The sequence below is a fragment of the Homo sapiens genome, chromosome 5 (assembly GCF_000001405.40).
Source record: "Homo sapiens chromosome 5, GRCh38.p14 Primary Assembly".
Lineage (NCBI taxonomy): Eukaryota > Metazoa > Chordata > Mammalia > Primates > Hominidae > Homo > Homo sapiens.
Genome location: NC_000005.10, coordinates 96,042,198 through 96,063,969, shown reverse-complemented (window position 1 = coordinate 96,063,969; position 21,772 = coordinate 96,042,198). Strand labels below are relative to the sequence as shown.

At 39.4% G+C, this 21,772-nt stretch overlaps 1 protein-coding gene and 2 long non-coding RNA genes across 15 annotated transcripts in view; 1 reads left to right on the top strand and 2 right to left on the bottom strand.

The window, feature by feature from the left end:
- CAST (calpastatin) overlaps positions 1–21,772 on the bottom strand; it is an 813,255-nt gene that overhangs the window by 710,714 nt on the left and 80,769 nt on the right. For 5 of the 13 annotated variants that reach the window (NR_186780.1, NM_001423258.1, NM_001423252.1 and 2 more), the window contains exon 1: positions 13,769–13,847. The exons of the other annotated variants lie outside the window; for them this stretch is intronic. The gene's annotated coding sequence lies outside the window, so the exon portion shown is untranslated. Of the gene's footprint in view, positions 1–13,768; positions 13,848–21,772 lie in introns of those variants that run through there. 13 annotated transcript variants of the gene reach the window in all.
- LOC101929710 (uncharacterized) overlaps positions 1–21,772 on the bottom strand; it is a 669,085-nt gene that overhangs the window by 567,116 nt on the left and 80,197 nt on the right. The window lies entirely within an intron of this gene.
- Positions 1–21,772, top strand: part of LOC105379096 (uncharacterized) — an 86,202-nt gene that overhangs the window by 8,498 nt on the left and 55,932 nt on the right. The window contains exon 2 of the long non-coding RNA XR_001742447.2: positions 1,789–1,885. This is a non-coding gene — a long non-coding RNA (uncharacterized LOC105379096). The remainder of the gene's footprint in view (positions 1–1,788; positions 1,886–21,772) is intronic.

The following is a 21,772-nucleotide window of genomic DNA, read 5'->3' as shown; positions in this document are numbered from 1 at the left end:
ACTCACAGTCTCACGTACACTAATGATGGCTTAGGAGCCTCCAGCACACACACACCTTCTTGTGTTCCAAAAGCTTTACAACAGCATAGCATAGTAGGAGGCAGAATGATAAATCTCAAATCTCACCTTTGACAGTAACTACTTGTATGAATTCAGAAAGGCACCTAAACTCTCTGCCTCAATTTCCTCATCTGTAAATTGGGAATGACACGTAGCAACCTCCCAGAATTGTTGAAATGATTAAATAAACTGAGACATGTAAAGTACTTACAACAGCCCCCAACTAAATAAGACTACACACCAGAATCGTATACTGAAGTACCATTGTGTGTCTGCGTGTAAAGAGTTTGAATGGGGTCTCTGCTCTTTGCTGATTTATCAGACTAAGAAACAGTATGACTTCAGATGCATTCCTTGGGAAACAGACTCTGAGATGAATATTTTCAGGAGGGAAAGTTCTTGGAAAGTATCCTTGGGATCAACAACTATGGAGGAGCACAAGATATAGGAATGGGCACAAGGAGTAGTTGAACTGTATTACAATAGCGACAAAAGACTCAGCCAATCCTACAGGGTTCTCTGGAGCTGGGATGGTCCTTCTGACTTGGACCACCCAAGTCTCAAGGGATTGAGACTTTATAACTCCACATTGACCAGCCATTTGCTGTGGGCTGCCCTCAGGTGGGGGTCATGACCTTGAGTGAATGGGTCCCTTCAGCTAATACCCAGGCAGAGATTCAGCTGAGAACTAGCAGCCATCAGCAGTCCAGCCACTATGGGAATGAGTCCCTCAGTCCTGAAGGGAGGATGTGGACAGCACACCAGATTTATATCCACTTGTACAGAAATACAAGTGGCACAATGGTTGGGCTGTACTTGATCTGGTGTGCTTTCTCTGTGGGGAAGTCTACCAAGATTCTGATTGGTCATCTCTTCCTGCAGAAGTTTATGTGAGAGAGGGAGGTGTTAGTGGGGCAGCTGGTGTCAAGACCACAACTGATACTCAGTGCATTGCTTTCCTACTGTATCTCGACCCTCTTCTTGAGCCCTCATTCTTGACCCTCTTCATCCCAAGCTAGTGTCTCTGCTGGTCAAGGCAGCTTAACTTGGGGGGTGACCCAGACCTCATCACTGCGGGACATGTTCTCAGTCCATGACTTCTATACTTTTCCATTCACTCTCAAAATTGAGCAAAGGAGTACTAAGAAACTCCCGAGTGAGCCACCTAAGTGCCAACCAGATTTTTCCACACCCCCATTGGGTAGCAGCAGCCTTACTATTTTCTTTCAGGACCAATTATCCCTGCCAGGATGGTGACCCCTTCTTTTCACTGCTGTTCTCTTGGCCTGAGGAACCTGAAGTGATGGGGTGGCAGCCACAGCTTAAAGTTTCATAGGACTGTTAAGCTGGCCCTTGATAAAAGTGTTCATCTTCTGAGAAGCAGGACCTCTAAACCCACAGATCCCAAAGTTGTGGGGACTGGAAGCCCAAATTCTTCACATGGGCTTCAAAAGGTAAATGGCACTACTCCAACTTTCAAGCCTTCATCGCTGGATCCATTCATTCTGTCTCTTGGACACACAGCACTATACAATGATGGTTAAGGGATATGCTGCACTTACACCCCATCCTCACAAGTTATCATCTCCAAATTGACACTTCACTTATGTCTTCACAAGGTCATTCTATCACTCTACTAGACAGGCAGTTTCTGGGTGGTATGGTATTTGATAAGGCTGGTGGGTCCTATGGTCATGTGTCTACTTTCACTCCTCTTTTGCTGTAAAGGGTTCCTTGGTCTGATACAATGTTATGCCAATCCTGAGCTGGTGGATCAAACACTCTCTAAGCTGCTGGATAGTGATGCTGACTTCCCTGTGAGAAGGTAAGGAAAACCCACATCCAGAATACATGCGGATTTCAAGGTGAAAAGGGTCCAGTGTAATCAGGCTGTCACCAATTGTTTGGTTTTCTTGAGGGATGGCGCCATATAACAAACATATAGGAGACTGCATAATGGGAATGGAGATTAGCTGATGTCAGCTAAGTCATTCTGTCCACTCGGTTAGACATTCATGGTGCCTTTTCCATAATGGATGCTCTCTGGTGGAGATTAACATGTAATACAAATATCTTCACACTAAGGGCTTACTCCCATGTGTGCATCTGTATTCTTCTCCCCAGACCTCCTTATCCTCTATCTTCCATATTCTCTTTCTATGTCCCTGACAAACCATTTTCCATAGTCCATGACTTCATAAGTATTCTTACTTCTGGCTACTTCTCTTTACACACACACACGCACACACACACACACACACACACTGAATAACAAGGGCACACCAACAACTCTACATACTGGGAGGATATTACAACGTCACTCTACCTCTGAGGGGCTATAGTGCATCCAAGTCTATTTTTGGCTTGTACCCAGATCAATTCATCTGTGAGTCAAGTTCAGGCCTTTTTTCTTCTCTGTTAGCTGGCCATAAAGACCCCTGGTCCCTACAGTCCTATATGTGAGCTGGGAGAGAACTGCCATTGAAACAATGATAGATGGCATGGGCTTTGTGAACGTACCACTTTTATTTATATTTGATTGTTGCTGGGATCACTAGAATTTAACTTGTGGTATGACCCAATCCAGCTCATGATAGGCCATTCGGGCTGCAGGGTCATTTGGTATCCCACTATCTAGTGCTCAGTAGCAGCCCAGGAGCTGTTTATTGAATGGTGTATAATTCTCTGCTACAGAAGGCATGTCCTAGGAGTCTGCATTGTGATTCTTTTTTAGGGGTGTTAGGAGTGGAATTTTGTGTCCCCTCCAAAAATTGTTGAAGCCTGAACCCTCAGTGTAGCTGTATTTGCAGATGGGGCATCTAAGGAAGTAATTAAGGTTGAATGGAGTCCTAACGGTTGGGTCTTAATCCAATAGTTTTAGTGTCTTTATAAGAAAAGATACCAGAGTGCTCCAACTCTCTCTCTTCCACAAACATATCATACAAAAGGCCATATGAGAACACAGTGAGAAGCCAGCCATCTGCAAGCCAAGAAGAGCACCTTCACCAGAAATCCACCCTGCTAGACCTTGACCTGGGACTTCTAGCTACCAGAACAGTGAGAATAAATATTTCTATTGTTTAAGCCACCCAGTCTATGGTATTTTAACATGCCCAGCAGATTAATACAGGGGGCTTTCCACAAACTCCACATGGTATCTTTTTCCACTACCAACACCCCTTATATCATATGGTCAGCCTAGTCATATGGCCTGAGTAGCAAAGCCACCTGCAGCACAGCCTAGAATGACTACCGTGCCCTTTCCTGCTATGGGCCCTACTCAGAGATGGGTGCCTTTTATATCACTCAGTTAACAGGTAGAAGAAATGTTCCCAAGTGTTGAATATACTGCTTCCAGAACTCGAAGAGGCCGAGTGGATGTTTTACCTTTTCTTGGTGATAGGACGCTGGAAATGCAATAATTTGTTCTTTATTTTGGAGGGAAATTCCAGCATGCCCCAAACCAATAGACCCCAGGAAACTCTACTATTGTGACAAGCACCTGAATCTTCATAGGATTTATTTCCCACCATCTATAGCATGTGGATCTTTACCAACACTTCCAACATACTTGCCATTTATTGTTCATCCAGTCCAACTAACATGGTGTCATGAATATAGAGGACAAAGATGACGTACTACAGAAAATCCAGGTGGTGCATGTGTCCCTTCGGACTATATAATGTTAGAGGGTGGGAGAGTTAACATAACCTTAGAACTATTATTATTCTAGTGAATGCAAACTCTTTCTGATCCTCTTTCCTGTTAGGGATAGAAAAGAACACAGATACCAAATTAATGCTCATATACTATGTGCCTGAGGCTGTGTTAATTTGTTCTAGCAAAGATACCACATCTGACACAGCTGCTATAATTGTGCTATTACTTGGTGGAGTTTGCAGTATTCTACTCTAATCCTTCAGGATCTGTATGGTTTTTTTCATTTATTAGACTAGGCTGATAAATGAAATAGGGACAAGGACTGCCTGCATTCTTCAGGTCTTTAAGGGTGGCACTAGTCTCTACCTATTGCATCAGGAATATAATATTGTTGATGCACTCTCTTGAGTAGGGTTAAGGGGTATTTTCAGAGGCTTCCACTTGGCCTCCTTACTATGACTACTCTCACCCCACAGGCCAAGAACCAATGTGGAGGTCGTAGTGACTACCTATATGCCCATTCCATTACACATTCAGAGCCCCGTGAAGTGACCACAGAGTGAATCTTTGGATGCATTGGACACATTATGAGCCAGACCTGAGCCAGGATTCCATTTATTACTGGCCTTCACATACCACTCCCTTCACATACCACTCCCTTAACAGGAAGCCACAGGTCTTAAGGTATCAAGGTCATTTTGGACCCTGTATCTAACAACCCTTAAAATTCTGAGTATTCTTTTCCCAGGATAGTTACCTGAGTAAATAGCCTTAGATCCTTTAGGGGATAACTTGAAGAAACACTGCCATATCATTTGCCGTGCTATTATTGCAGGGGACTTCTTCCTGAGGACCCAGACTTATTTTGAATTAATGACTTCTAAGTCTGAAAACTGGCTCAGGTCCAAAACTTTGGCAAAGAATTGTAGCTTTTCACTAGGGTGGTTGCTCTCAGCCTCCTGATTATCCGTCCTGCTGGGTTCTGCAGCTCCATGGCTTAGTCCCTTTCCTTGCTTAGCAAGCTCACACTTCCGTAACCTGGTTATGTTTTGCATGATGCTAGGTAGCCAGGAGGTGGGAGCAGATCCACCAAGGAAGGTAGGTGCAGTTTTGCAAAGCAAAAGTCTCTATATTGCCTTCAGGTAAGGGGTGGGGTTCTCATCTCTAACAAAAAAAAAGGGGCTACTTCTGTAAGCTCAGGAGGTTTAGGGAGAGCTGGGTACCTTGCCCCATGTTTCCAGCTAAAGTTTTCGTCATTCTGTTTTTTCAGCCTGGGCCTTGGCATAGCAAATTTGCTGGGGCTGAAAATGTAATCTTTTCTGGGGATATGCTACTCTTAAAATAAAATCCTGGGTGTGGTTTTCAGCATTTTTGCCTTCAGACTGTAGGAGATAAGAGTAACTTTAATTTCTGTTAAGGAGGTCTGCCAGACTTTCACACTTCGGCTTTTTTGTCTTTCTCCTATGCATTAATGGAACTCAGCAACAGCCATCCAATTCCACTATCCTTACAATTAGTACTTGTACCTCTCAAAAATCTGAAAAGTTGCACCAGCCAAGTCATTCCCTTCCTGGGTATCCCATCCCAGTTCACCAGTGAAAGCGTTAACCATTGGATGGCTACTTCATAATAAAGATTATCCACTATTACTAGCCAACTACAGTGACCAAGCTCCAAATTCCCACTTCAAAATCAGCTTTCTTAGAGCCCTTCTGGTACCAAATTTCTTAGGTCAATTTCCCTGGAAAACTGATTCTGAAGGAGATTTGAAAACATGAAGTTGACTGAGGAGGACCCTTGGTTTCCACACCTGTGGGAAAATGAAGGAAGTAGGTGTGGCCAGAGAAAAGTATTAAATTTCAATGCAGCCACAAACACAAAAGATTCAGCTGTAACACTGGGAATCTCTAGAGCTGGGATGGCCCATCCTCAAAGCAATAGGATTGAGCCTTTATTCCCCTGCCTCAGCCAATCATTGTATGAAGGCTGTCCCTGGGAAGGTGTTGTGATCCTGTGAGACACTCTTTGGTTGAAGGGAATTCCCAGGGAGGGACTCAGTGTAGGAGCCTCAGTCTCTAATTTCCCATCAGTAGAGAATCAGTGATTTGGTTCTGAAGGGAAGATCTGGGTAATGCACCACAGCAACAACTACAAATACACATTACACACATACCTCTACAACACACACACACACATATTTTAAATAGAAGACCCTGAATAAGGTCAAGAATCAATGCATCTTTTGCTCGATATTTCTAAGAAAAATAAGGCACCCCACTGCTCAAAATCTGAAGATTGTTCTTCTACCATAAGAAAAGTATGCAAATGATTTCAATCAAGGGCAGAGTCAAGAATTTAAATGCTCTTGCCACAATGAAACCAAAAATATAACATCTAACATAGATAAATGTAGGTTCAAATTTTAATTGCACAGACTAGAGGAGACCTGATGTGACAACATTTCATGCAGAAAATATCCAGAAGGGTTAGTTCTTTCCAAGTTTAGTATTTGTCAAGAGTATAAGGCAACTGTCAAGAAAGTAAATGTATTTTTATTCTCCATTAATAGAAATACAGTGTCACTAGCAGATGTCATGGTTTTGCCATAGATCCCATAATGGACAACCACATCTGGAGAGGTATTCAGTTCTGAGCCTCACATGTTAAAAGACAAAATTTAAAAACCAAACTGAGTCCTAAGAAGATCAATCAGAAATCTGAAAATAATGCCTTATGAAGAAAAGCTGAAGGGCATGGAAGTGATTACTCCGGAAAGGAAAAGACTTCATGAGAAAGAAAGAAGTCAATTGATAGTATATTGGGTCTGGGTTTCCCCAAAAAGGACTAGAATTTGTGGGCAGAAATTACAGGGAGCAGATTTCAACTCAAAATAGTCAAAAACTTTCAAACAAATAGAGCTGTCAACAATGAAGCCAGCAGAGACGGCTCTGCCTAAAAGTGTTGTTAAATTAAGTTTAGCCTAAAGCTGCCTCCTAACATATTTTAAGTTCTGCCTAAAGGTTTCTCCACACACTGTGAATTGTAACCTACTCTTATAGCAATCACAGAGTTTCAGTCAACCACAGGTTGCCAAATGTTCAATCATGTTCAAATAAGGCAAATGCTGAGTTGAAACTAATTCAGCTATAGTGTTTCTATAGTTCACTTCCATCTTCCATACATCACTTTCTTTTTTCTGTACATAAAAGTTATCCAACCATGTAGCAGCCACAGAGGCACTCTGAACCTGTTCTGGTTCTGGGGGCTGCCCAATCTGAGAAGCATTCTTTGCTAAATAACTGCTAAATTTATTTTGTCTAAAAAAATTTTTGTAATAGTGTCCAAGCCAAGACCAGGCACTCCTTGGGGATGGTAGAGAGATCCCTCACTAGATAGAGATTATACCAAGTCTCCCCACACATATGCTTTAAAATCTTATTTTTCTAAGGCTAAGAGTTAAGAATTGAGACCATCTCAGGCCAGAGAAGAACTAAATTTCAAAACAGAGGCTGGCTTTACTTTTATCTCTCACTTGAATATCTATGATGTACATAAAACTTTCCCCATCTCAGCATTAGGACAGAAATGCTGCTACTGTCATTCCATCTTGCCAGGAAAACAGAAGCATGGACAAATAATATCTGAAAGATGCAATGGCACAAAGCTCTAACCAATACAACTCAGATGTTTCGAATCTCACATACTCAATATGCCGATTCAAACTCTTTCTCAAGAACTCCCCAATAAAACAACCCATCTGTGTGAATTTAAGTCCACATCAGGTCTTTGGAGCCAGTTCGTGCATCTGGAAATAAATACAGGAGTTGGGGCTAAATAGCCCTTCAGTTCCTTTCAGCCTAAACATTCTTATAGCCCAAAGGAAGGAGGCATTGTTTTTAAGAATGCCTTAAAAGTCATTAGTTACCCCAAAGAAGCAATCTTTTTTGTGGCTGTACAAAGTAGTTATGGAAGATACATTTGTTTTTGAAATTTATGACTTAGTAAGACAACTGCAAGAAAGCAAAACCTAACTCCCAGAAAGAAAAATATCTAGGATTATCAGAGATACTTGTTTAGTATTTTTTCCTGTGAGTTTATAGAAAAATTTCAAAAACCAACTGCTCAATGTTAGGTATACATAACTAGGGGGAGGTAAGGTAAGCTGATTTTAGGAACTCTGTGCTTATCCCTTTAAAACGATGTTTTCAAAAAGAAACAAAAAGAGGATACTGGGGTGTTTTGGGGGTAGAAAACCTTATAGAATACTATTAAAATAGGAACATAACTGGCTGGGTTTTTTTTGTAAAGATGTGAATGTCATGTTACATATATGTGTCAGATGATTTGTGTGATATTTTAAAAGTTTATCATCAACAAAGCTTCACCTATTATCTCCATTTTTATAGATAAGGAAATTATGACACAGAATAATCCAAATTTCCACAGGAAATTACTGATATAGAATTAAAGCAAAGCCTGCCAGGTATTTCCTGTGTCCAAAAAAGTAAAGTATATATTATATGATATAATGTTATTAAAATTGCTGAAAAATTATCAAAGCCTTATTAAATAACTTTTCATCTATATTCACAAAAGGAAAAAAATATGGTTTTTGGTTCATTTGTTTTCTTCCCATCTGAGAGCAGCATAATAGCAGAGTGAGGAGCTGAATAGAAGGTATACTTTGAATGGCAACAAAATGCACACCTGTCCTGAAACATTCACCTTATATTGAATACAGACCTGAAATATAATATTTGCATTCATCATTCCTTTGGGTTCTAGTACTCTTGGTCACTGCTAAAATACAGCATGCTCTCCAAAGGAACAACACCATCTAGTAACATTTATTTTGGATGCATTTAACAAATAAACTAGTCATCTAAAATGCTAGCCATAGCAGCTGTTAATCAGCTGCTAAAAAGATAATGTCATCTTAATTTGTGTTAATAGAATTGTAATTACATAATTTAGACAATAAAACCCAGAGAAGGAAAATGTCAATATGATTTGGGGGAGCGGTGAGAGTAAAGAAGGGGAAAGAGGGAAAGGTCTGAGGTGGCGATGTCCAGGTGGGAGGACCTGGTAAAGGAGAAGTAAAATGGAAGAAAGGGAGGATTCTGGCCATTAACACCAAGATTCTGGGTTTAGAGGCTAAGGAGAAAGACACCTGCCTTGAAGAATAAATCTGCATGGCTTCAAGGATGGGGAGCATGCACTCAAATTTGAATGAAGAATAGCTAATGTTTGTGAGGTACTTTGCTGTTTATGAAGTACTTTCATATTCATGAAATATGTATTTAATCCATCCACCCACTGAGATGGTTTCTTTCTATCATCCTCATTTTAAAGATGAAAACTAAAGCTGGGATGAGATGATTTGCCCTGATTCACACCAGGCCTTCTACCTCCAGTTTCACATGCTCTTCACACACCACAGTGCAGCTCCAAGACGGTTCAGGTTTCTTCCACCAACTTTGTAGATATTAGAAGGAAAATGCACTCACTCAAAATAAATAGTATTGAACTAAACCACACTTTATATATTTCAAAGTGTTTTCACATACGGCAATATTGTATGTTCCTCATTTTAACTGGGGAATCAGGAACTATTATCTCCATTTTTATAGATAAGGAAATTATGACACAGAATAAACCAAATTTCCACAGGAAATCACTGACACAGAATTAAAAGCAAAACCTACCAAATGTGGCTTTTCTTGTCCCTTCCCAGTGCGTGGTTTTTGCAAAGCTGATCTCTGGACTATGCCGTGATGAATAAGACTTACAGAAAATAAAACTGGAAGGAGAAGGGAAAAACTCCCAGGACAAGCCAGGCATGGTGGTTTGCTCCTGTAGTCCCAACTACAAGCTGAGGCTGAGGCTAGAGGATTGCTTAAGTCCAGGAGTTCAAAGCTACAGTGTGCTGTGATCGTGCCTGTGACTAGCCACTGCACTCCAGTCTGGGCAACAGAGAAAAACCTGTCTTTATAATAAATAAATATTTTTTTAAAATAAAAAGCTCCCAAGACACACAGAAATAGAATAGGCCCTCATAATCAGAGCTATATTAAACTGGTTTGGAAAAAAACTACAAGTTAAAATAGTAACAGCAATAATAAAACAACAATAATAAGTGCTTTGGAATGGAAAAAACAAGGTCTCTATTAGAATCACCACACAGCTCTCTTATAACTGCTGCCCACACCACCAAGAAATATAATATCAAACGTCAACACATATTAAGAATAAACCACAACAACTGCATAGGTAAGAGGCACTATGATCCCCTTTGAGCTGCCAAAATAACTATTTAGTTTTTCTAAAGCTGTAGTGGAGTTGGGGGAGGCATCCTGATGCCATAGGTGGGAGAAATATTTTTACCAACTAAGCTCATCATATGTATGTGGTCAAAAACCAGAAAGTATTTTACTTTTATAAGACAGTAGGTAAATGATTCCCAGAAAAACTGAGTAATATTTGAATAAAATGTTATTTACTACAGCTGATATATTTTCTTTTTTGAGCTCTCTGACCTGCCCTATTTAATGTTTAGTAACAGATGAAATGTATCTGTGAAAAGTCATAAGTGATACTGATATTTTGCTAATACTCTCCTACAAGAAGATTGCTTATGTCATGCTGCAGTTGGTTTACCGATTTTTTAAATTGCAAAATAAAGATCTGATAAATAATTAGCTCAGCAATTCCCAGCCTGAATTTAGTAATGCAGTCTTTCTATTCATCTTGCACCAGGATATCTGTAATTATTCCAAAGTCTATCATGGAAATTTTCCAAAAGTCTCAAAATAAACCAAGGAAAAAACTCACAAAACTTTTAGGAGATAAGGTGCCAAAAGAGTGTCACAAAATCAAATTATAGGTAATGCAAATCTAAAAAGAAGTCTAGAGGTCATTGAATTAAACCAATGGCTCTCAACCTTGGCTGAACATTAGAATCCCCTGGGAGCTTTTCAAAATCCTTATGTCCAGGCTGTACCTCAGACCAATTACATCAGAATCTCTGGGAGTAGGACACGGGCATTAGTAGTTTTTCAGGCTCCTCGGGAGTTTCCAATGTATAGCCAATATTGAGAACCACTGGAATAGACCCATTAAAAGACCAGATCCTTAAAGTTGGTGCTGTCTTCTGTTAGGCTTAAGGGAAAAAATAAACATTTGAAATGAGAGCATGGGCTTTGGGAATCAGAATGCTAGCTGAATCACCTTCCAACTGCAGGACTAGAGCAAGATCTTCAAGTCTCTGGGTCGCCATACCACTTCAGAGGGCTGCTCTAAAGAATAAACTCAATGAAAGGATATGTAAAAGCACCTAATCCACTGTCTACAGGGCACACAAAAGCACCAGAGAAATATTCCTCTCCTCCTCTCCCATTCTCCCACGTGTTTTAAGCAAGAGCTACTTCCTGACCAAATGGATCAGAGAGTAATAAATAGACCTAATCACATGTCACACTTGTTCCCAAAGTATTTAGGCATGTACAACTACAGCTATTCTTCCATCAATAATGGAACAGAAATATGTGCCCCAAGAGTCTCTACTCACTAATGATTTCCACACCAAAAGCTCATCTAAAATTTGATCATTTGAAGCAACAATGAGATACCATTTTTTGCCAGTTGGCGAAGACAAAAGACTGATAATCACCAGTGTTGGCAGAGATGTAGGGAAACAAGGTTTTACAAATTAGTACAACCTTTTTGGAGAGTAATTTGGCAGCATCTATAAAAAAATCTAAATGTACATATTCTTTCATCCAATTAATCTATTCCTGGGCACCTAACCAGAGATATACCTACATATTTACTCATGAAGATATTGTCCTGATTGGTTTGGTTGTATGGTTGTGTCTTGTACTCATCACTTTCTGAACTCTTCAGTTGTTTGTAGTCCATCTTCAACACTAGAAGAGAAACCCTGTAGGAAGAGTCTGACCGATCTAGCCCACCAAGTGAGAAGAGCTGGGCTTGCCAAAGGGGCCCACGTGATGGTCACATTTAGTGCCCACAATGTCATGCTGTTTGAAATGCATACTTCTTTGCTTTCTAATGCACTAACTCCATCAATCAGTGTATGACCCTCTTTATTTAATATTTTATTTTAAATAATACATAAACACCCATGAACGTACTAACTCAAACAATGATATCAGCAATAACTCGGATCACTTACATTCTCTCCCCTGTGCTGTCTTCTCTATCCCTCGCCCCCTCATGAGTAAGCACGATCCTAAATTTGGTGTTTATTGTTCCTTCTCTTGTTTTGGAATGTTAAAAAAATGGTATTGTACTATTATAAATGGTTTTCTGGGATTTTAGATTTTTACTCAATCCTTTTGTGACAAGGATTAATCTGGTTGTTGTATGTATCTGTACTTCCTTGTTCATGACAGAATTAATTAACTATAATATATTTAACCATTCTCCTGGAATTGGCATTTTGTTTCCGGTTTGGGACTACTAAGAACGGTGGCATTATGAAACTCTTCCTGACATTTTTATAACACAGGGGTGGTCGATTTCTGGCAGGAAATCTGGCTGCCATCACACTAACCTCATCACTCACAGGAGTCATTGACGGTCTCCCCTAAAAGGCTTAATTTCTCTCCCCCTCCTCTGCCAATCCAGGCCAGTTCAAAGTGCCCTAGGGGAGAACTTTACAAGGGGCAAATGCTCCTTTAAAAGGCAGCACCTGGCAGCAAATATTTATTGACATAACTGGCTCCTTCCAGAACTATCCTGGCAGTTACCCCCAGCCCCAGGCTAGCTGCTTAACTTGCCTACTTCCTGCCAGAATTTTAAAGATATTTTTATTTGAAAGACAAATTCCTGAACAGTTTGACTTCAATACTTTATTCCTACCAGAAAGAAAAATCACCCTCCAAGAGAATTTTAGCTATAGATCTACACCAACATCAACTCCCACATATATTGTTGTTTAAAAGTCATACTTGACGTCTAATGTCACAAAATGCAGAGAGACTTCTTGATTTTCTCTCTCTCTCTCTGTGTGTCACACACACACACACGCCTGAATGAAAAATCAAGCATCAATAGCACTTATAACCCACTTTATTTCCCCTTACCAAGCAGATACAAACACTTTAGGGAAATTTAGGAAAAGAGGAAAAACAGGATAACTATACATTGTCTTGCAATGATTTTTTTTAAGTTAATTTAGAATAGGGCCCAAGGGCCCAAAGTGTTTGTAATACCTGTGTAAATACTGCCTTTGTCTCACCAGTATTTTAAAATTTATTCTGTGTTCCCATTGTCCAAAGACCTCAAATTATATAAATCATTTATTTTTAATTAGGTTTTTAAAAGTTGCTAAATTCTGGGGGTTCAGGAGTGCCCCTGGACCCACATTTCCGAGCCCGCTCCTCCGCACACTCCAGTACTCGCCCATCGGTCTCCCTTGTCTTCCTACTGGCTCCCATCTGCTATCCCCTTCCTCAATCCCACAGCTGCAAGAGGGAGCACTACTGCAGGAAACCCAGCCACTGGCCACCTTCCACCCCAGCAGGGATTGGAGCATTCAACTCCTGTCTAAGCTCACTTCTGAGCAGCTGCTCCCCCAAATAGCTTAATAAAACCACGTCTACTCTTCCTAATGCTTTTGCCCTATGGCCAGCACCATTCTCCTCAGAGACCTCTTCACAGACTATTGAGATGATCAGCATGAACTTCCTCAACATCTTACCACACACGCCCATCTCAACCCACACTTTTATCTGTTTTTATCCACACTGATCAGTGCCAGCTTTCTTCTCATCACAGAGGAATTGACCCCCCCTTTTCTGGTTTCTGGCTAATTCCTTCACCTGTGCTAGCAAATTCCACCCCCTCCCACCCTATACTTCAGAATTCTTTCTGTCTCTAGCTTGGCTACTTCCCTGCACATCCAAGTGGTTCACTTCTTAAAATCAACAAACAAAACTTCACCATTCCTATGTCTCTCTTTTCCCCTCACAGCCAAGCTCCCTGAAAGAACAGAGGGCAATTCAACCTCATGTCCACTTCTTACCTCCTGTCCACTCCTCCACAGACTGCAATCTGGACTCCAGCCGTACCACTCCAGACTCAAGGGTTTCTGGCAAAACTCTGATATTCTCCCTCCCCATCGTTACTAAATCTACTGCTTCTTTTTTTCCCAGTGCAAACCTTAGCTGACCTCTTTGTGGCAGCTGACAATATTAACTACTCATTTCCTCTTAACAATTTTCTCCTCTCTTGTCTTATAATTCCTTCTACTTTTAATATATAGGACCATTTTTTCCTCATCTCCTTCTTCTCCTTTTTTTCTTTTTCTTTTTTTTTTTTTTTTTTTTTTTTTTTTGCCTCCTGTTCTGTTGTTTCTCTCTTAAAATGCTCTCTATGCTTCTAATCTCAGTTCTGTTCATTACTCTGAGCACATTTTCCTTAGAAAATACCAACTCCCCAATATCCATCCTGGAGCTTAACTTCCCCTGAGCTACAGACTCACAGAGCCAACTGTCTCCAGGCATCTCCATGTGCATCCCAAGTATAACAAGTTCTACACTGAGCTCATAATTCCTCTCATTCCCAAGCTTCCACCAGTAACCCTGGACTTTTCCTGTTTTCTCTTTCTAAGTAAATTACATCACCATCTGCCTAGTCACCCAAGTGGGATCCCTGAGAAGTAAGGCAACTCCCTCACCCTGCCTCCCTGAGGCATTCAATCAGCCCCTGACGCTTGTACAATCTACCTCTTTAACATCACTGCCATCTATTTCCCTTTCTCCATTCCCATTGCATTTGCCTTAATTCAGACTCCTTTCATCATTAAAATTAATAAGAACTATATTTACTTGAGTACTATATGCTGGGAATATAACATACATAATGCCAGGAGGTGTTATTGCCCATATTTTTACAAATAAATAAATGAGACCCAAAAAGGAAAATAACTGCATCTTGTCTCACATTTTGAGTCTAAACCCATCTACACTGCAGACAAAATCAGCTCTTCTTTTTTTAAAATCATGTTTATTGTGAAAATAACACATATACAGAAAAGGTACATAAAGTAAGAACAGCATAAAAATTATTATAAAGTCGTCTTTCTAAAATGCCAATCTAATCTTGCTCCTGATATTTTCCTAACCTTTTCAAAGTCTCCCTGTTGCCTTTAAGGGTAAAGTCAAACCTGAGCAAAGCACAAAGGGTCTCCGGGGATGTCAGCTCAGCGTGTTTCCTCAGCCTTTCTTAGCCACGCCCTCTCACTCACCCTGGCTCCAGCCCCACACGCTGTATCTCCATGCTGCAGACTTTGATCCTACATGGCTCCTGGCTGAGAGTGTGGTGTATATTCTTCTCCAGCCATTGCTTCACCCCTTCCATTGGATACCTAATTTACTCTTTGGGAACTACGTCTTATTGCTCTTTTCAGAAGGAGCTTTGTCTAAAGGGGAAAAAAGACTCTTGGCAATATTGCATGGCCAAAGCCATGCATGAAAGCCTTCGCTGTTCACCTGGAGTATCAGAAATGGGGAAGTTCTGACATATTTGGGACATGTCCACTCTGTCTAAGAAAAAAAAAATCAGGAAGAGATTTGAGGCAATCATTTTAGGTCATTTATGGTGAGTTCAGTCTACTCTGACTGAAGACTACATCTCAGTAATTCCTACCCACAGCCCCTCACCACCCCAAAATTAGGTGGAAGCTACTGGTAATGTTGATTATTATTATTATTGCCATTATTTTATGTAAATCTATTCAGCTGTGCAAGTTAGAAAATGAAAACGAATCCTTAACATTTCCCTTTCTGCCCCCTCAGTCTATCATAATGTCCTATTTTGCATCTGAAATTATCTCTTGAAGCCACCTACTCTGGTCATCTCTGGCATCACTCTTCTCATCAAAGCTATCATTGTCTCTTAGCTGAATTACTGTAGTAGCCTCTAACTCATCCAGAGAATTTACTCTGGCCTTTTCTCAGCCATTCTCCATATTGGAGCTAGTTATATTTGCAAAACACAAATATGATCATATGATCCTATCACCACTCCACCCCCATCCTGGCCTGGTTAAAACTCTTCAGTGTCTTCACTTTTATAACAAACTGAGCACTTAAATATTCCAAGCACTTAGAACAATATTAAGTGCATAATAGGTGCTCAACAAATATTGATGAAACAAGTGAAAGAGTATGACCTTCATCTACACTCCTGCTTTCTCTAACTGAGAATTCCAGCCACCTTGACCTCCCTTCAGTTCTATATTCCCTATAATCACTTGGCTTTGCACATGTTGTTCCCTCTTTTTCATGCCTTCTCCCTTTCCTCCTTAAGCAAGTTCTTTACTACCTTCTTCCTTCAAATCAGACTTTAATCATCATGTCTCCAGAGCAGGCTTCCCTCATTGCATCATGCGCCTCTTCTCCACAGTGCTTGTCACACTTGCAGTTTTACACATGCTTATGTGATTATTTTACTGATGTCCACTACCCTGCCCTATTAGCTTGCAGCACTATGAAGACAGAGACTGTGTCTGTTTTCCCTCATCAATATATCCCAGGTACTTAGCACAGTGTTTGACATTCGGTAGACACTCAACAAACAGTTAATAGATGAATGAATGCATTATAAATTGGTATTCAAAGTGCCCACCTATTTTACAATTCTATTTTAATGTAGCCCTGAAACCTAGAAACTCATATGAGAGGCAAATTACAGAAGACAATTCTTTTTCTACTCTTCTTTTTTCTTTGAAAGTCTTTGTTAGAGTCTGAAGTACAACTATTGGGCTTCCAGGATACAATGTTTTTAAATATTATTTCATTTGAGTTCTTATAGAAACTTTGTTTAAAAACAAACACTTCAAAAATAAAGAACAGAGGGCAGTAGAATTTGCCATAATTCACCCGAAAAAATAAAAACTTTTCTAACCTAAAGCAAAATCTCTCTTACTACCAATGAAGTATATAGACGTACCCCTGCCACGGATGAAAACCTATTTAATTTTTAAATATGAATAAGAAATGATGATTCTTGAGGCTTATCTGTGAGCTTGCAAGATATTTGTTTTGAAGAACTTGCTATGTTTTAAGCATCAACACATGCAGTTTGTCGATATGTCTGACATTCCCAGGTAAAAGTAAAACTATTAGGCTATATATTTTTTAAAAGTCTTATGCTAATGTGGTTCTTTAGGAATGATGTGATATGGTTTGGCTGTGTCCCTACCCAAATCTCAACTTGAATTATATCTCCCAGAATTCCCACATGTTGTGGGAGGGACCCAGGGGGAGGTAATTGAATCATGGGGGCTGGTCTTTCCTGTGCTATTCTCGTGATAATGAATAAGTTTCACGAGATCTGATGGTTTTATCAGGGGTTTCCACTTTTGCTTCTTCCTCATTTTTCTCTTGCTGCTGCCACGTAAGAAGTGCCTTTCACCTCCCACCATGATTCTGAGGCCTCCCCAGCCATGTGGAACTGTAAGTCCAATTAAACCTCTTTTTCTTCTCAGTCTCAGGTATGTCTTTATCAGCACTGTGAAAATGAACTAATACACCATGTCTTATTACTCTTTTGTAAAATATTTTGTGAATAAGTAAAGAAGTTTCTTGCCACATTGCAGGCCAGAGCCAGTGCCATCCATTGTAGACACTGCTGCCCATATGGGAATGAATTATCAGAAATGGGGAAGTCTTAACACACTTAGGGCATGTCTTTCCTCCATGGAGTGAAGATTTGATGTAATTATGTTACATTTTTGGATAACTTATGGTGGAGTGAAGATGGAATGTGGAGTGCACTTTAATTAAAGACTAAGTCAGAATTGTACTCACCCCTATCCCACAACTTAGGTGCAGAGTTGAGTTAGTAATACTCAATTCATGGCACTCCAGCCTAATAGGTTGGTGCTAGATCTCTCCCTTGTTCTATTTCTTTCTTTTATTCAAGATCCTGTCACCCATTCTTCTCCCTACTCACTCTAATATGTTTATTATATATATTATTGGATGTGTGTATATCCTTATAAAATACAACGGCCTGCAACGCTGTCCATGATCTGGCACTAGATAACCCTCTTACTTCATCTCCTCCCCTTCTCCCCTATCTCATTCTACTCCAGCCACGCTGGCCTCCTAGCCACTTCCTGAACTTACTAAACGTACCTCAGGGACTTTGTACTTGCTCTGTTTTTTTCTGCCTGAAATATGCATTGCTCAGTTATCCACATGGCCCACTCCATGTATTTGTTTAAATGTCTCTTTATGTTAAAAATCGGGGAGGAAACTTCCCTGTCTTATTTTAAAAAGTAACATACCCCCTTGTCACTTTCTGTCTCCATACTGTGATTTATTTTTCACAGTTGCAGTTATTGCCTCACCAGAGAAACTTTTTTGTACCTATATTTTTTTTGTCTATCTCCTCTTACTAAAATAAGAGGCAATAGGACATCATGGTTAAATCCTAAAAACCCTAAAGTTAGACCTACTAGGCTTGAATTTTCACTCTGCTATTTACTATGTGACCTTCAGCAGGTAATTCTCAACTCTAAAATAGGGATGATAATAGTATCTGCCTCATAGGGTTGCAATTTTACCTGGCACACAATCCACAAAATTTAAGTATTATCTATTGTCATTATTATTACATTTATTTTATTATTAGAAATAAGCTCCATGAAGTCAAGAACAAAGTTTACTTTGTATCACCAGTGACTGGACAGTACCTAGCAATAGCACTGAATATTTATTAAGTGAATGCTATTTTGCAAGTGCATGGTTTTTTCAAAGAAAAAAAAGTTTATTAAGTATAACATGCATACAGAAAACTGCACTAAGTCAAAATTGTACAGCTCTATGAATTTTCTTTTTCTTTTCTTTTTTTTTTTTTTCTTGAGACAGAGTTTCACTCTTGTCACCCAGGCTGGAGTGCAATGGCGCCATCTCAGCTCACTGCGACCTCCGCCTCCTGGGTTCAAGCGATTCTCCTGACTCAGCCTCCTGAGTAGCTGGTATTACAGGCGCCTGCCGCCATGCCCAGCAAATTTTTGTCTTTTTAGTAGAGACAGGGTTTCACCATGTTGGCCAGGCTGGCCTCAAACTCCTGACCTCAGGTGATCCATCCGCCTCAGCCTCCCAAAGTGCTGGGATTACAGGCATGAGCCACTGCGCCCGGCCAGCTCTATGAATTTTCACAAAAAACAAACCCATGAAACCACCAGCCATATTAAGAAATAAAAACATTATTAGACCTCTAGAAGGCCTGTCCCAGTTACTACAGCTCACTTCCCAAAGGTAACCACTCTCTTGACTTCTATGATTATAGATCAATTTTGCCTAGTTTTGAAATTTTTGTAAATAGAATTATATATTATATACTCTTTAGTAACTGACTTCTTTCATCTGTGTAGCACACAACAGTCATTCATTCATTCTCATTGCTGTATAGTATTCCAGCAAATACTGTATTCCAGTACAGTATTCCAGTGTGTGACTATGTCACCATTTATTTATCCATTTTGTAGTTGATAGACACTTGGGTAAGTAGTTCCCAGTTTGGAACTATTATGAATGGTGCTACTATGAATATTCTCATCCATGTCTTTGGGACACATAGGTAAGCATGTATATATACTTAGAAGATGAATTGCAGCAAAGTAGGGCATACTTTTGTTGAACCTTACTAGATCCTGCTTATCTTAGTCTGTTCAGGCTTCTATAACAAAAACACCATTACATGGATAGTTTATAAACAGAAATTTATTTCTCATAGTACTGGAGGCTAGAAAGTCCAAAATCAAGACACTGGCAGATTTGGTATCTGATGAAGGACTGTTTTTTATAGATCTTCTAGCTGTGTCTTTATATGGTGGAAGGGGCAAGTTTTAACCTTTTAAAGTTCCGGGGTCCCTCTTATAAGAACATTAATTCCATTCATGAGGGCTTCACTCTTATGACCTAATCACCTTCCAAAGTCACAACCTTCTAATACCATCACCTTGGGGGTTAGGTTTCAACACATGAATTAAGGAAGAGAATGGGACACAAACATTCAAACCATAGCACTGCTGAACGATTTTCCCAAGTGCTTGCACCAGTTTTCACTCCTAACAGCAGCATGGGAAAGTACCAATATATGTGTTTTTCTAAGCAACATAAATATTGTATTAGGTTTTGTTATTTCCCACTGTTTTCACTGAATATTGTGTTTCTAAGATCTATATATGTTGCTATACATTTATTCCTTCCAACTATTGCATGGCATTTGATAGTATGCTTTCATCATTGAATTCTTTTTCTGAATTTTTTTGAAAGGTGCTTGTCAGTGAAGCAGGGCTTTTGTTTGCCTTCCCTGCATTGATTCTTCTCTTCTCCCATTCTGACAGAATTACCTGCATTTCAGCCACATAGTCAAGTGTTCCAGCCTCAGCCCCTAAAGGTGACTCTTCAGTCATCTAAACCAATCAGGATACTTTTATTTCCTTTATGACCCTGTTCTGGCCAGTGAAACTTGAAGGGAAGTCTATACAGAATGGGACAGTGGGGAAGTTGCTTCTGAAAAAGGTTTCTTCATTCTTCTACAGAAACACAAGAAAGAGATCCTCTTTTCTTACCTCTAGATGTTAATGGGAGACTATGATAACAGGAATTACTGCAGCCAACTTGTGACCAGGGAGGCAGTTAGATAAAAGATGAAGAAACTTTGAGTTCCTCATGATACCACTAAGCCAGGAACCACCCTACCTCAAGATTTGTTAGATAAGAAAATAGTTTTAGTTGGATTTTCTTATTTGCAACCAAAAGGGTCCCATTATAATAACGAAACCACTTGCATTAACTTGTTTGTTAAAAGGCATTTTGTATTAAACAGACCATTTTTCAGTCCCTCTATTTTGTTTTAAATAATTTCAATTTGATGTCCCTTATTGACTATGAGGTTAATTTTATGACACTGAGACCATCGAACAAATGGACGTCTTATTCAACTTACTGGTCGGCATTCTGCAATCTTTTTATTCACAATTTCAGAAGAACATAGTTGATTTTGAACACATGATCTGCCAAGTAAAGGATATCATGATACATTTTGAGTTAGTGTTTTTAATCTTGTATTTTAGAAAAAGTATGGTAAGCCAAAATTTTCAGATATACTATTAGTCATATCTTCTATAATAAACAAATTTTATAAATTTTAAGACTTTTTTTCATTTTAATTTTGGGGTAGGCAATACATACATTGATACAATATACTCAGCATTGTCACTTCCATGGGCTTCTGGTTTATTTGACCAGTCTTTTCTAGACTAATATTTCAGTATTTCATCTTCACACAGTATAAAATAATATAATTACATGTGATGAAATACCTATTCTGCATTAGGCACTGAGCTTGAACCTCTGCAAGCATTATTTAATTATACTTCTGGGAGGTATTTTTATTTTATTTTTTAAGAATATGAAACTGAGGCTCAGAGAGATTAAGTAACTTACTCTAGGATTCGCAAGTGAGAAGCAGAGCTGGAATTTTAATCCACACCTATTAGATTACAGAACTCATACTCTTAGCCACTTTGTCATACAGCTACTCCAACTTTTTACTATGATAATCATTGGCATATTTAAGGCTAAATGGGAGGCTCCACTAAAAAGATTTAACTTTTTAAAGTAAGCTGAAATAATAATTAATCATATCGAACACTTACTGAGTACTTTCCATTTGCTATGTAACCATTTAAGAGCTCTTATCAACCAATTTACTCCTTGCAAGTTTATTCTTAGATAAACAGTGAATTATATGGGAATAAATAGGGTAGCAATCTGAAAATCAATTGATATTCTGATCATCTTTAACACAGAAATAAACTGGAGGACAATACATTGTTTTGTTCTATCATTTGGGAACTTTTTCCATTGCAAGAGACCAAGAAAAAAATGTCAAATCAAACTGACTTAAGACCCTCAAAAAGACTATTGGCTTGCATAACTAGGAAATCTCTAGAGGTAGAGCTCTTCCAAACAGGGCTGGATTCTGGGCTCTATAATGTCCCACA